This window comes from Homo sapiens, chromosome 14, assembly GCF_000001405.40.
Source record: "Homo sapiens chromosome 14, GRCh38.p14 Primary Assembly".
Classification (NCBI taxonomy): Eukaryota; Metazoa; Chordata; class Mammalia; order Primates; family Hominidae; genus Homo; species Homo sapiens.
In genome coordinates, this window is record NC_000014.9 from 29,107,731 (window position 1) to 29,121,737 (window position 14,007).

Below are 14,007 nucleotides of genomic sequence, written 5' to 3' on the forward strand. Positions count from 1 at the left end.
AAGAGAATGAAAGAGTATTGCTTTTTCAGTAGGAGCTTTGCCTTTTGCTAAATCTTTCCAAGCTGTCAACTTTTGCTATTGCTTGAAATTTGAGTACTGCTGCTTTTTACTTATCATTTTCCAGCATCTTCTAGCAATATTGTGCAAAAGACAAATAATTCTGATGAAGACATTGTAGAATTTCTCAAAAAATAAATAAATTGCTCATTTTAAGATATAAATAATTAAAATCAAGCATATATTTTTGCTATTCAAGACTCTGTATTATTTCCCTTGTATAATAGCCAGATAAATTATGAAAGAAATGTCTTTCCTTTAAAAATTTTTAAAATTTCCTTCTCTAATATTTCAAACAATAAGAAAACTACTAAAAGTCATATGCCAGATATGAATGTTAATATTTTGCCATGTTTACTCCTGCCTCAGCCTCCCAAAGTGCTGGGAAAACAGGCATGATTCATTGCACTTGATCTCTTATTGTTTTCTTAAAAAAGGAAATAAAGGGACACAAATAAAGTTATAGACTAATTTCTTCCAATCCACTACCTTCCCTCTCTTCCAAGAGACAAATGTTGTCATAAAACTGATATGATTCCAAAACATTTTTAAAATATTTTCTGTATATGTATGTATCTATAAACCATATATTCTAGTTTTGTGTTTAATATTATTCATAAGTGGTGTGTTTCTAAATTTTATATTTTGTAATTTTATTATTTTTTTACGTTGCATTTTGAGGTGTATAGATGTTGCAACATGTAGATAAAGTTACTCATTTTAACTTCTAGATTCCTCTATTTCCCTGTATGCATAAATCTGAGACAATAAATTTGTTTCTATTCTGTCACGTTAAAAACAGTCTTGCAATGAACACCATGGATTTGTCTTTAGTTACACATATGCGAGAGTTTCTCAAGAAAGACCACATGCCTGTAGTCCAAGCTACTCAGGAGACTAAGGTGGGTGTTGAGGCTGGGAGGTTGAGACTACTGCTTGGGCGACACAATGAGACTCTGTCAAAAAAAAAAAAAAAGAAGAAAGAGAGAAAGAAAGAAAAAAAGAAGAAAGAGAGAGAAAGAAAAAGAAAGAAAAAAGAGGGAGGGAGGGAAGTAGGAAAGGAGGGAGGGAGGAGAGAGAGAGAGAGAAAGAGAGAAAGAAAGAGAAAGAAGGAAACAGAGAAAGAAAGAGAAAGAAGGAAACAAAGAGAAAGAAAGAGAAAGAAGGAAAGAAAGAGAAAGAAGGAAAGAAAGAGAAAGAGAAAGGGAAAGAAAGAAAGAGAGGGAAGGAGGGAGGGAGGAAGGAGAGAGAAGAAAGAAAAAAGAGAAAAGGGAGAAAGAAGGAAGGAAAGAAAAAGAAACAGAGAAAGAGAAAGAAGGAAAGGAAAGGAAGGGAAGAAAGGAAGAAAGAAACAAAGAGAAAGAAAGGAAAGAAAGAAAAGAAAGAGAGAGAGATCGGAAGAAAAGAAAGGAAGAAAAGTAAGAAAGACATAGGTATTGGTGGTTGTCAGATCTAGGGTATGTATGTTTTTAATTATGTTGATTTGCCTTTCCATCAGGATGTATAGAGGTTCTGTTTTCCCCACATCTTCTCAACAGTTTGTGTGACAGGCTATTGTGAATGGTTTCCTACTGTCATCTAATTGATCATTTCACAAATACTAGTGAGGCTTAACACATTTTTATGTGATTATTTGTCATTTTCTATTGTGCTTCTGTGAATTTCCTGATGTCCCTTTTTCAATTGGGTTGTCCTTTTAAATTTGTAGGAATTTTATTTTATGTGGAATATTAACAGATTGCAAGTTATATGGGCAAAAAACATAATTTTCAGTTTATAACAGGTCTTTTCATTTTTATTATAATGGTCTTTGTCGTAAAAAAAGTTATTTTAATTTTAATGCAGGATTGGATTTTGTGTGCATGTGTTTATATCCTGTAGCTATTTTAGAAAACTCTTGCCAATATCAGGAATGAAAATAAGAATTCATTTTTTTTTTCTAAAAGTAATGCATCTAGATTTTTAATCCATTTAGATTTTATTTTTGAGTCAGCATTTTTCTGTATGGATAGCCAGTTGTTCTGGCACCATTTATTGGCTGATCTATTCTTTTGCCACTGATTTGTAATGCCACCTCTGTTTTTACTTTTGTAGTTTTATATTTTATACATTTCTTATTTTCTAGTTTATCTTATACTATATTCATTCCCTGAGTTTCTTACACTTTTGTTCCTATTACTCCTATTATCCATGTCCCCCACAATGCTTCATTATGGATATTTCAAACATACAGAAAAGTTGAAAGAATAGTACAGTGAACACCATATACTCACCAACTAGATTCTACAGCTAAATTTTGCTGTATTTGCCATATCGTGTATTTAGCCATGTATTCATACCTATATCCATTTCTATGCCTCTTTTTTAATGCAGTTCAAAATAACTTGCATCCTTAAAACCTCAGCATGCATGGTATTAACTGGAGTTTAGTAACTACTTTTTAAAAAATAACATTATACACATTGAAATGCAAAAAAATTACCATTCTGTGAGTTTTAACTGATGCTTACACCTGTGAACCCAAACCCTATCATTATATACAATATTATCATCTTAGAAATTTCCCTTTTGTTCTTTTTCAATTAATCCTCTCAAATTTAAATACTCTTCTGATTTTTTTCCATAATGGATTATTTTAGCATTTTGTAGAACTTCCTATAAGTGGAATTATAGCATGTACTTTTTTTTTTGAGACGGAGTTTTGCTCTTGTCACCCAGGCTGGAGTGCAGTGGCGCGATCTCGGCTGACTGCAGCCTCGGCCTCCCGGGTTAACGCCAGCCATTCTCCTGCCTCAGCCTCCCAAGTAGCTGGGATTACAGGCACCCACCACTACACCTAGCTAATTTTTGTATTTTTAGTAGAAACAGGGTTTCACCATGTTGGCCAGGCTGGTCTCGAACTCCTGACCTCAGGTGATCCACCTGCCTTGGCCTCTCAAAGTGCTGGGATTACAGGCGTGAGCCACCACGCCCGGCCAGTATGTACTCTTATGAAATATTTTCTTTACTCAGCATAATATATTTTGGATGTATTCATGTTGTTTTACCTATTGGGAGTGTGTTCAGTTTTGGTTGCTGAGTAGTATTATGATGTATGAATATGCTTCAGTTCTATTCTTTCTCCATTTGATGGACATTTGGGCTGCTTTCAGTTTTGGGCTATCATGAATAAAGCTTTGATAAACATTCTTGTACAACTCTGTTTGTGGGTATATACTTTGAATTCAATTAGAATGATATCCAAGAGTGGAAATGTCAGATTAAAGGGGAGGCATTTGTGAAACTGCCAAATTTTTACAAAAGGTTTATATTATTTTATATTCCTATCAGGAAAAAAATAGAGTTCTGGTTGCTCCTTGTCCCTTCAACATTTGATATTGTCATTTTTTTCTCTCACTCTTCCTTTTTTTTTCTTTCTATTCCAGTGGTCATATAATGATATCTCATCATAGTCTTAATAAGCATTTTCTCAATGGCTCATAATGTGGATATTTTTCATATGTCTGTTCAAATCTTTTGGTTATATTTTAATTGGGTGGTTTGTCTTTTTATTTTTGGGCGGTGGGTATTTTTTATATATCCTGTATACAAATCCTTTTTCAGGTGCATGTTCTGCCAATATTTCTCCCAGTTTGTGAGTTCCCTATTAATTTTCTTAAATCATGAATTTTAGTGAGTGGAAGTTTTTAATTTCAAGAAGTCGAATTAATTTTCTAAGCCTGCCATTACAAAGCACTACAAACTAAGTGGTTAAAACAACAAAAGATATTATCTCACAGTCTGGAGGCAAAAAGCTGCAAATCAAGGTGTTGGCAAGGTTCCTTTTTTCTGAGGGATCTATCTGAGGGAGAATCTGCTCCACGCCTCTCTCCTACTTTCTGGTGACTGCCAGCATTGCTTGGCATTCTTTGGCTTACAGAGGTATCACAACAATCTCTGCTTCCGTCTTCACATGCCATTCTCTCGGTTTGTTTGTTGCTTCTCATAATTGTCATCTTAAGGACATGGGTCACAAAGGATTAGGGGCCTATCTATCCTCTTTCAGTATGACCTCATCTTAATTAGTTACATCTCTCATGACATTATTTCCAAATAAGGCCTATTTTCCTTTTATGATCACTGTTATCTCTGTGCTGAGGAAACATTGCTTCCTTTAAGTTAGAAAGATATTTCCCTTATGTACTGTATTTTTGCATTATTTTTTCTTTTGGCTTACCTTATACCAAATTAATTATATTTCATAAATTCTCTCTTTCTCTGTGAAGTTTGGAAGCTCTACATTTTGCTTTTTTTTTTAGTGGATAATTTTAACTTTTACAAAGTTCTTGACTCAACAAGTCTGAAATTCATTACTATCTGTAGCCTTATCCCAAGAATAATATAAACTTAGAACATTTTATCTGCAATCATTTCTCTCATTTTCTGTAAGTTTTGTTGCCTATATTTTAGTTCTACTTTGTTTCATGCCCACCAAAGTTGAAAATTAGTAGTATTATTATTATTTCATAAAGTTCATGCTCTTTTAGACTTAACCGCACAGTAAATTCTTTACTCTTGATTTCCACATTCCTAGCTGTACTTCCGGATTCACGTTCCCTCTTGAATTATTGTTTACATATTCATACAGCAAGGATCTATTAGGGGCATATGTTTAAGTTGTACTCATTACTGCTCTCTTAACAATTAAGCATTTGGCTGTTTTGCATAGATCTTTTACTCTATTTTTAAAATTTGGAGGTCTATTGTTTGATGATTTTTCTTTTGTAAGCAATCTGCCTTCTAAATCTGATTGCTTTCAAAATCAGTCCTTTATATTTGTACTTTCTCTTTGATATTAAGATCTTACCTCTATTTTTTAACTTAGGAAGTCTAAATATGTGTTAATCTATCTACTGGAGACTTTTTGTTCTTCCTGAGTCTGAGAATACTTGTCATCTATCACATCTGCAAAATTCTTAAGACATTGTCTTTTCATTATTTCTCCCTAACTCTGTATTGTATTCTAAAACTTCATATATCTATATATCTTTTCCTTCTATCACTCATGTCACTTAACTTCTTTGATAATTTCTATAAATCATATATCTATGTTTTGTTTGATTAATTTCTTCAGAGACATTTTCCAATTTGCTAATTAGCCCTTCAGCTGTGTCCAATATTTTCCATGACACATCCTTTACAATTTACATTTTGATTGCTGTATTTCTCATTTCTCAAAGTGATTTTTTTTTTCTTTTTCAGATGATCTTGTTCTTTTTTCATCATCTTGTTCTTTTATTAAGGTTTTTCTTTTTAAAATCTTTCATAATTGCAAAAAATCTTATTTTAAAATCTTCATCAGATTGCTCCAGCATATGAAGTTATTGGTCTCTAGTCCCATTTGGTGTGTGTATGCTTGACATTGTTTCTTTTTCAGGATGGATTATTTTCTGTTTGTTTCTTCCTTTATGTGTGAGACTTCCTTCCAGGCTGAGTTGTGAGAATGTCCATCTGGAGTTTTGCATTTTTATTTTCTTCTGCTAAATTGGCCAAGGCACTACTAGCCTTATTTTCTTTCTTTTCTTTTCTTTCTTTTTTTTTTTTTTAAGCTTCATGGTTTCTAAATCATATAAGGCCCCATTTGAAGGCAAATGTCTCCAGAGAAATTTTGAGTAGTTATCCACTAAATGCTTGGAATATGTTAATTATTCTTACATATATTAAACAAACCTGTGAGGTGGAGACCATTATCATCATCTCCATACTTAGATGGGAAAACTATGCAGTTGAAATATTAGGGAAAATGTTTGAAGCAGCACATCTACTGAGTGATCAAGGCTTGAGCTTTCCAATCTACATTCCAAACCCATACCCTTAGTCCCTGTGCTGTGCTTTGTTGCTAGTCAGGCAAACAGTTCAGCCCCTCAAACATCCCTTTATGTCTATCAATCACTCTTCAGGAAGGCAATTGTATACATTTAAATTTTCTACATATTGATTTAGCCAAAAATCTAAAAAAGGATGATTATTCCCAAGCAACTGTTGAATTTGATATTTGTTTCTCCATTACAGCTATTTCATTCTATACATATTTTAAGATATTTGTACTGCAAAATGAAAATGGGTGTACAGGCTCTGAAACCACTCAATATTAGTGATCATGGACTGTTGTTGGCTGTATTTCGTGCCATTCTCAATCACCTCTCGTCCCAGCGTGATACTCCAATGCTATCATGCATCTTTCACTGGAAAGAGCAGCTATCCTGTATCTCATTTTAAACATCAATGCTTTTATTCTCATTTCAATTCTTAGCTGGAAATATGATTTTTCATTTCATTATACTTTTAATTTTTATTTTTCCTCTCCTGTTATCCATTGTTTAATTCTTTCCTTGAATTACTTACAGTTATTTTTTAAGGCACTTAAATATTCAATATGAAATAAAATTGTTCTCTTTTCAATGACACTGTGTAGAGCATAATCATTTGCCTCCGGACTCCATCCAAGTTTGCTTCCATTTTTCATATAAATTATCTAAAAGCAACTCAGCTATATTAATGACTGTATCATATAGCATTCCTTCATTAAGATTTAATAAGTGTTTGTGGAATAATGAAGAACTTTTGTTGACATTTTGATATCGTGTATGTAAAAAGCTGTCACTTATAGATATTTCGGAATCTATCTAAAGAGTTTATTGTGGGCAAAACAAAACATTTAAGGAAATTTTTAAAAATTAAGCCTTGGAAACTGTGATGCCCAAGAGAGTGAAAAAACTGGAATAGAGCACAGTTATCAGAGCTGTTCAAATGTTCTCAAACAACCCAGTTATTTATTGCTCTGATTTGGACTACCTGTTTTTCTCTTTGAAGAACCACAATATATGATTTATAATTGCCATTTGACAAGTAAATAGAGATAGAGTAGGTGATCTTAGTTTGAAAATATAAAACATATCTTCTCTGATATTGTATTAGAAATTATTTTATTTTTTCTTTATGAAAAAGAAATTCATTTATTTCTTTATGAAAATTGTTATTTCTTTATGAAAATTCATTTAAAACAGAGTTTAGAAATGTAAAGATTTTTCTATTAAATCTAAAAGACATAATTTTACCAATGATAAATTTGATCACAGTGTTTAATTTATTCCAGTTACAGAAAGTCCAGAAAAACCTACTTTCTGCAAAGACGTTATCTTTTTAAATCTGTTGTTCATATATTATTATTATTATTTTATTTTATTTTATTTTTTTAATTTTTTTTTTTTTTGAGACGGAGTCTTGCTCTTTCGCCCAGGCCGGACTGCAGTGGCGCTAGCTACATCAGCGCACTGCAAGCTCCGCCTCCCGGGTTCATGCCATTCTCCTGCCTCAGCCTCCTGAGTAGCTGGGATTACAGGCACCCGCCACCGCGCCTGGCTACTTTTTCCTATTTTTAGTAGAGACGGGGTTTCACCGTGTAAGCCAAGATGGTCTCGATCTCCTGACCTCGTGATCCGCCTGCCTTGGCCTCCCGAAGTGCTGGGATTACAGGCCATATATTAATTTTTTGAATGAGATATGATGACCACTAACATTAACTTTTATTGTAGTTGTAAATATAGTGGCAAGATATATAATGATCTATTAAAATATTTTCTGAAGCTTAGCAATGAAGTGATACATTTACAAGGTATTATTTACATTGTTAAACTCTAACAGTTCTTCAACATTTGAATAACTAAATAATGATATGGTTTGCCATATGTTTCCATTTAATGAAGCCTTGTATTGATACTTAAATGCTTCATTAAGTCACAAGCTGCCAAAATAAGTAGTTTTTCTCTTGTCATAAATGTGACATGGTTTAACTAAAAAGTCTTGTCATTTTAAAAATTAAGAATGCTTTTATTCTGCATATGTTATAAGCAACATTTCTCTCAATATTTCAGGTTTAAGTACAAAACATTTTTAGGAAGCTGACATTGTAGTTTGGGAATTTTTGTGCACAATTTTCTTGTCAGTAGAAGGTTGTATGCGTTGTTATAACTATCATTTCATCATAAACTAAACAAAGTTTATATGCCATTTTCAAAAGCTTCTTGAAGTGACACCTGTTTCATTAACAACAACAATAATAATAAGCTTAAAAAGTCCTTGTCTGAGCTGTAAACACCAAATAAAAACTATAATTTCACCAAAATCATATTTTTAATGCATCAAGTTGCCTTGAAAATGACAAGTTCAAAAAATGACAAGTGTAGCTATTCTGAAAGAACACATACATCTTGGAACAATTAGTATCAGAATTTGCCTTTTTACCTGGCCTATGAAAAACCAAAGACTGACTTTATGACACAATGATTTTTGTACATGTACATAAGGTCTAATTGATGTTTATATTGAGCAAAAAGGAAGCATTGTGATCTTAATATATATAGTTTTCTAGATTAGGTTGGATAGGAGAAAGTTCAAGCATGAATAAGCGATTATTTCCAGGTTGGTTCATCAAACATGGCTACTTAAAAGATCATATATTGCCACTGAAAAAAATAATATATTTTGCAAAACCGAGTTTTCAGAAGAAATGAGGCATTGCCATGTTTCAGTATTGATTTTTGATACATGTGTTTGAGTAGATAGGAAATGTTACTTGAAACTTTAAAGAATATAGAATCAGTAAAAATTATCAAGGACTCTGAAGCTTAATCATTTCTTTTTCAAGTGTAATTCACGTAGTTTATTTTAATTTAGATCCTCAAATAAAAATTTTCTTTAAAACTATTAAACTATATATTTTTATTTAACCTGTAAAAATTATAGTTACCTTCTTTCTCTTCTTTATGTATTCATTGCTACAAATTACCTCTCAGCCCCTACTAATATGATATGAAAACGTAGTATTTGTTTGCAGAAGAAAAGAAATAGAAATATATATGGAATAAAATCTCAAATGCCTATGAGATAGCCAGTAATATAATACTGGTATAAAATAAGAGACGTTAGTAGAGTCTGTGGGTACATGCTCTGACTAAATGCATTCAAGTCAAAACAGCTGGTGAGACAATATGGCAACCACAATATTTAAGCCAAACAAAACATATTTGTAGTTTCAATTTGGACCCAAAGGCCACCCATTTTTATCCCTGGCATAGAGATTCCAAACTAATAAACATTGGTAATACATAATTTACATTATAATACTATATCCAATGTTCTCTTCAATATACTATTCATTTATGTTATATTAAATAGTTGTCATTTTTAAATTTTTTTTTCTGTCTCTCCATACCACAGTGCCTAACACTACCAATGAACTGTAAAAATAAATAGCAAACCATAGGGTGGAAATAAAAGCAACATTATTTTCAGTAGACACCAACATGTTTCTCATTAAGAGTCGTAACAGCATTCTTATTGTTATCTGTAGTATCATCTAACTCACTGACATATACATATGTCATTACTAAAGAAGGTCCAACTTGAGCCCAACATGCCATAGGAGACGCTTGTTTTTAATTATGAATCTACTAAATTCATCATTATTTTATGCAAATTTATTCATTCTTTCATCAAGGTTGGTATGGTAGAAAGTGCCCAACACCTTGATGAAATGCAAGTTTGATCAATTAACCCAGTAACCTTATCAGGAAAGGAAATGAGATTTGTTTTATATAATATGCTAAATTTTATCAATTATAATTTGTTTGATATATATACTCTCACCATGGGATACAACACTTGCTATGAAATTTTGTCCCTCAGGAAGCCCACAGTTCAATGTTGGAGGCGAAGTGATAAACAGTAAGAATGCGCAAAATAGTGAGTCATATTAATAGCATGCACATGATACCATGTGAATAGTATGGGAATAGAGAGTTCATATGCACAACTCTTATAAAAAGAGTCCAGAATAGTATCTCAAGGGTTTAAATAAGGTATGGTATAATGCATTCAGTTTTCTGGTTACTTTTGTAGAAATTTGAAAGAGAAAGTTTGTTTAAAAAGTCAATTAAGACCGTGGGTCCTGAAACCGGTGGTTCATTAGAATCACCTGGGTATTATTTAAAACTACAGCCCCCAACCTTTTTGATTCCAGTTTGGTAGGTAGGAGGTGATTTCTAAAATATGTCGTATTTAGGACTTTGTTCAGGTGGTTACTTTCAGGCACTGGTTATTCAAAATGTGGCCTACAGTTTAGCAGCAAGTGTCTCACCTGGAAGCTTGTTAGAAGTGCAATAACTGAGGCCTTATAATAGACTTACTGAATCTGAATCAGCATGTTCACAGAGTTGCCAGATGGTTTGTGTGCATGTTACGATGTCAGATGCTCTGGATTAAGACACTGGGGAAGCTGATAGACCCTTAATGGGACTGTGACTAAGACTTGCTCTTGTTAGATTCCAGAGGTGACCAGAGACTGACTAAAATGGGCCCAAGTCTTGAGATTGACATTGACTCCAGAATGCCAAAGTACTACTACTTCACCATGAGAAATTTCATCTGTCACAAAGCCCAGAGTATTCAGTTCAACATAATTAGCATCTTCTCTTCTAATGAGGACAACTATCTGGAAAGCCAAATTACAAACAGAAGAAATTTAGAAGACCTTCCCCAAAGTCGTTAGTGAGGATAGCCAGAGGAACGTTGCTCATGTAGCCACTGAATGGAAATAACCCTTTGGCCAAGACTCTCCTCTGGAGACCGTAAATTGTGTGATGGCAAAGTTCTTTATCTGATCCCTTTTGTGTGTGTACTCCACTGTTTATCTTCTATAGAGAGCTTCATTTCTTTCTCTTTAGCTGTATACTTTTATACTCTTGTGTGAACCACAGCCTTAATACTGATAGCTGCTTGTTAAATACACTTACAATGTACTAACTGACCAGATCACCTGATTAAAAGAAATAATTATTTTTCATTATATTCTCTTAACTCAGTGCTTTTGGGGCTTGTCGTATTTCACCTAGGTGTTGGTTTTATAGTTTCAATTACATCTTTATCATTTCAACATTTTGGGGAAATTCTTCAGTGTAATTCTCAAGTATTAACAATTATTATCTTTTCTAAGATTATTAATGCTTACAAAATATTTATTTAATAACGCTTTTGAATGGATAAAGACAGAGAGAATCTCAGTAATTGGGCAAAATGAAAAGAGTGCGATTAAGTTACTTCAGATTTATTTTTATTAATCTCTCCTTTGTGCTGTTGAGTTTAGCAATGAGAAATTTTAAAGGAGATCAGAGATGGATAATTAACTATTCTCTATTTTCTTGTTTCTAAAGTTTAAAAAATATGTTCTCAGCAACCCAAATATTAATTAGATGCTAATTAATAATTTTTCCCATGAAACATTTACAAAACAAATATGCAAATCCTCATAAACCAACTTACACTCTAGTGATAATTAGGCTATCATTATATTCAGGAGAAATTCTGATGAATGCATAAGATTTTAAGAGTATGACCTAATGCTAATATGGTGAAAACTTAAATTTTTTTAATATTGTTTCTCTCTGTAGCTTATAAGAAGAAGAATACATTTGTAAGACTCATATTTAAATTAATTTTATACTTCAGTATTCCGTTTAATCTTTGAAACTATAGCCACCAGTCTGATCTAGTTTAATGGTTCTTAACAGTTTTGGTTCATGAACTCCTTTGAGAATATAATGAAAGCTGTAAATCACTCAACAATAAGAAATGTATTGTTTGTGGAAACAGAATTTTCCACACAGCATAGATTGTTCAAAGCTTCTCTAAAGTCATACATGGATTTCATATGTATAACTCTAATATATGTGGGAATTAGGAGATCAGGCATCTAATCCTAGATGAATATTAATGAGTACATGATCAATAATCTACTTTATCTCTGAATATAATTCTTGATCCATAAAATTACATAGTAGATTTTTTAAGGTACTCTTCAGCTCTGAGAAAATGGATACTAAATTTAACTCTTAAATGTAGAGATACAGTGATTACCTTCTTAAAAATATAAATGCAACAACTTAGATTTCAGATGAATATTGTCTTTCAAAGTGCTCACCCTGGGAGACCATCTGATTACTCTGGAGATATGGCAACATCACTCAACAGAGGAAACATATCTCAAAATATTATAAGAATTATCTTTTGTAGTTACCAGTGACAGAAGCTTTTTGCAATTTAGTATAGTGAAAACACTTTGCAGAAAAATTGCTGAGCAACTGTTGGGATTCTTTGAATCCCACTGAAAATTGGGAAGCGCCAAAAGACTGAGGCCGGGCAATACTACAATATTTTTTTCAATAGCGAAGGTGGTGTTACAGAATATGGACCATGAATTTGATATTCATAATTGATCAGATCCAGATTGTATTATTAAACAGATACCTTCCAACAACTATGTACTAGGAGTCAGAGAAGATTAACTTAGAACAAATTATATCAAACAAATCTCATTTCCTTTCCTGATAAGGTTACTAGCTTAATTGATCAAACTTGCATTTCAGCAAGGTGTTGGGCAGTTTTTATCATACCAACCTTGATAAAAGAATGAATAAATTTGCATAAAAGAATAATGAAGTTAGTAGATTCATAATTAGAAACAAGCATCTCCTATGGCATGTTGGGCTCAAGATGGGCCTTCTTTATTAATGGTATATGTCTATATCAATGAGTTAGATGATGCTATAGATAACAAGTTGATAGAAGAGCAAATCCAACAAATGATAGAGTTAGTACCTTTAAACACTTTAGTAGAAGGAAAATTAACTGATTTTTAACATAGTACATATATTTTTTAAAATGAACATACCATTTTCTACTTAAATCCAGACAATAAATGACAGGTATACAAATTTCAAGCATTCATTAAATATTTATTGGGTAGCAACTATATGCCAAGAGTTGTGACCCACACTGCAAAATATCTTGGTACTCCTACCGTGGGATGCAACACTTGCTATAAAATGTTGTCCCTCAGGAAGCCCACAGTTTAATGTTGGAGGCTAAGTGATAAACAGTAAGGACGCATACAATAATAAGTCAATATTAATACTATGCAGATGATACTATGAGAATAGAGAGCACAAAGGTTTAACTTTGACTTACTGAGTGAGTCAGAGAGTGCTTCACAAAGATTATGGTATTTGAGCTCTGTTCAATACAGGTTTGCCAAATGAATAAGGATTAAAGAAGGGATAGGGAAGTCTGGCAGGGAGGACATTCCAGGCAGAGGAGATGCCAGCTACAAAGAAATGGAAACACCCAAATGTCCATCAATGATAGACTGGGTTAAGAAAATGTGGCACACAGGCCAGGTGTGGTGGCTCACGCCTGTAATCCCAGCACTTTGGGAGGCCAAGGTGGGTGGATCATGAGGTCAGGAGATCGAGACCATCCTGGCTAACACGGTGAAACCCTGTCTCTACTAAAAATAAAAAAATAAAAATAAAAAAATTAGCCGGGCGTGGTGGCGGGCACCTGTAGTCCCAGCTACTCAGGAGGTTGAGGCAGGAGAATGGCGTGAACCCAGGAGGCGGAGCTTGTAGTGAGCCGAGATCGCGCCACTGCACTTCAGCCTGGGAGACACAGTGTGACACCATCTCAAAAAAAAAAAAAAAAAAAGAAAAAGAAAATGTGGCACATATAAACCATGGAATACTATGCAGCCATAAAAAAGGTTGAGTTCATGTCCTTTGTAGGGACATGGATAAGATGGAAACCATCATTCTCAGCAAACTATCGCAGAGAAAAAAACAAACATTGCTTGTTCTCACTCATAGGTGGGAATTGAACAATGAGAACACTTGGACACAGGAAGGGGAACATCACACACAGGGGCCTGTCGTGGGGTAGGAGGAGCGGGGAGGGATGGCATTGGGAGATATACCTAATGTAAATGACGAGTTGGTGGGTGCAGCACACCAACATGGCACACGTATACATATGTAACAAACCTGCACGTTGTGCACATGTACCCTAGAACTTAAAGTATAA

The 14,007-nt window shown here is 33.5% G+C and overlaps 1 long non-coding RNA gene across 6 annotated transcripts in view; it reads left to right on the plus strand.

Moving 5' to 3' along the window:
* The window catches only part of LOC107984685 (uncharacterized), a 216,619-nt gene that overhangs the window by 136,442 nt on the left and 66,170 nt on the right, over positions 1-14,007 (plus strand). The window contains exon 8 of one of the 6 annotated variants that reach the window (XR_001750696.1): positions 10,419-10,964. The exons of the other annotated variants lie outside the window; for them this stretch is intronic. This is a non-coding gene — a long non-coding RNA (uncharacterized LOC107984685). Of the gene's footprint in view, positions 1-10,418; positions 10,965-14,007 lie in introns of those variants that run through there. 6 annotated transcript variants of the gene reach the window in all.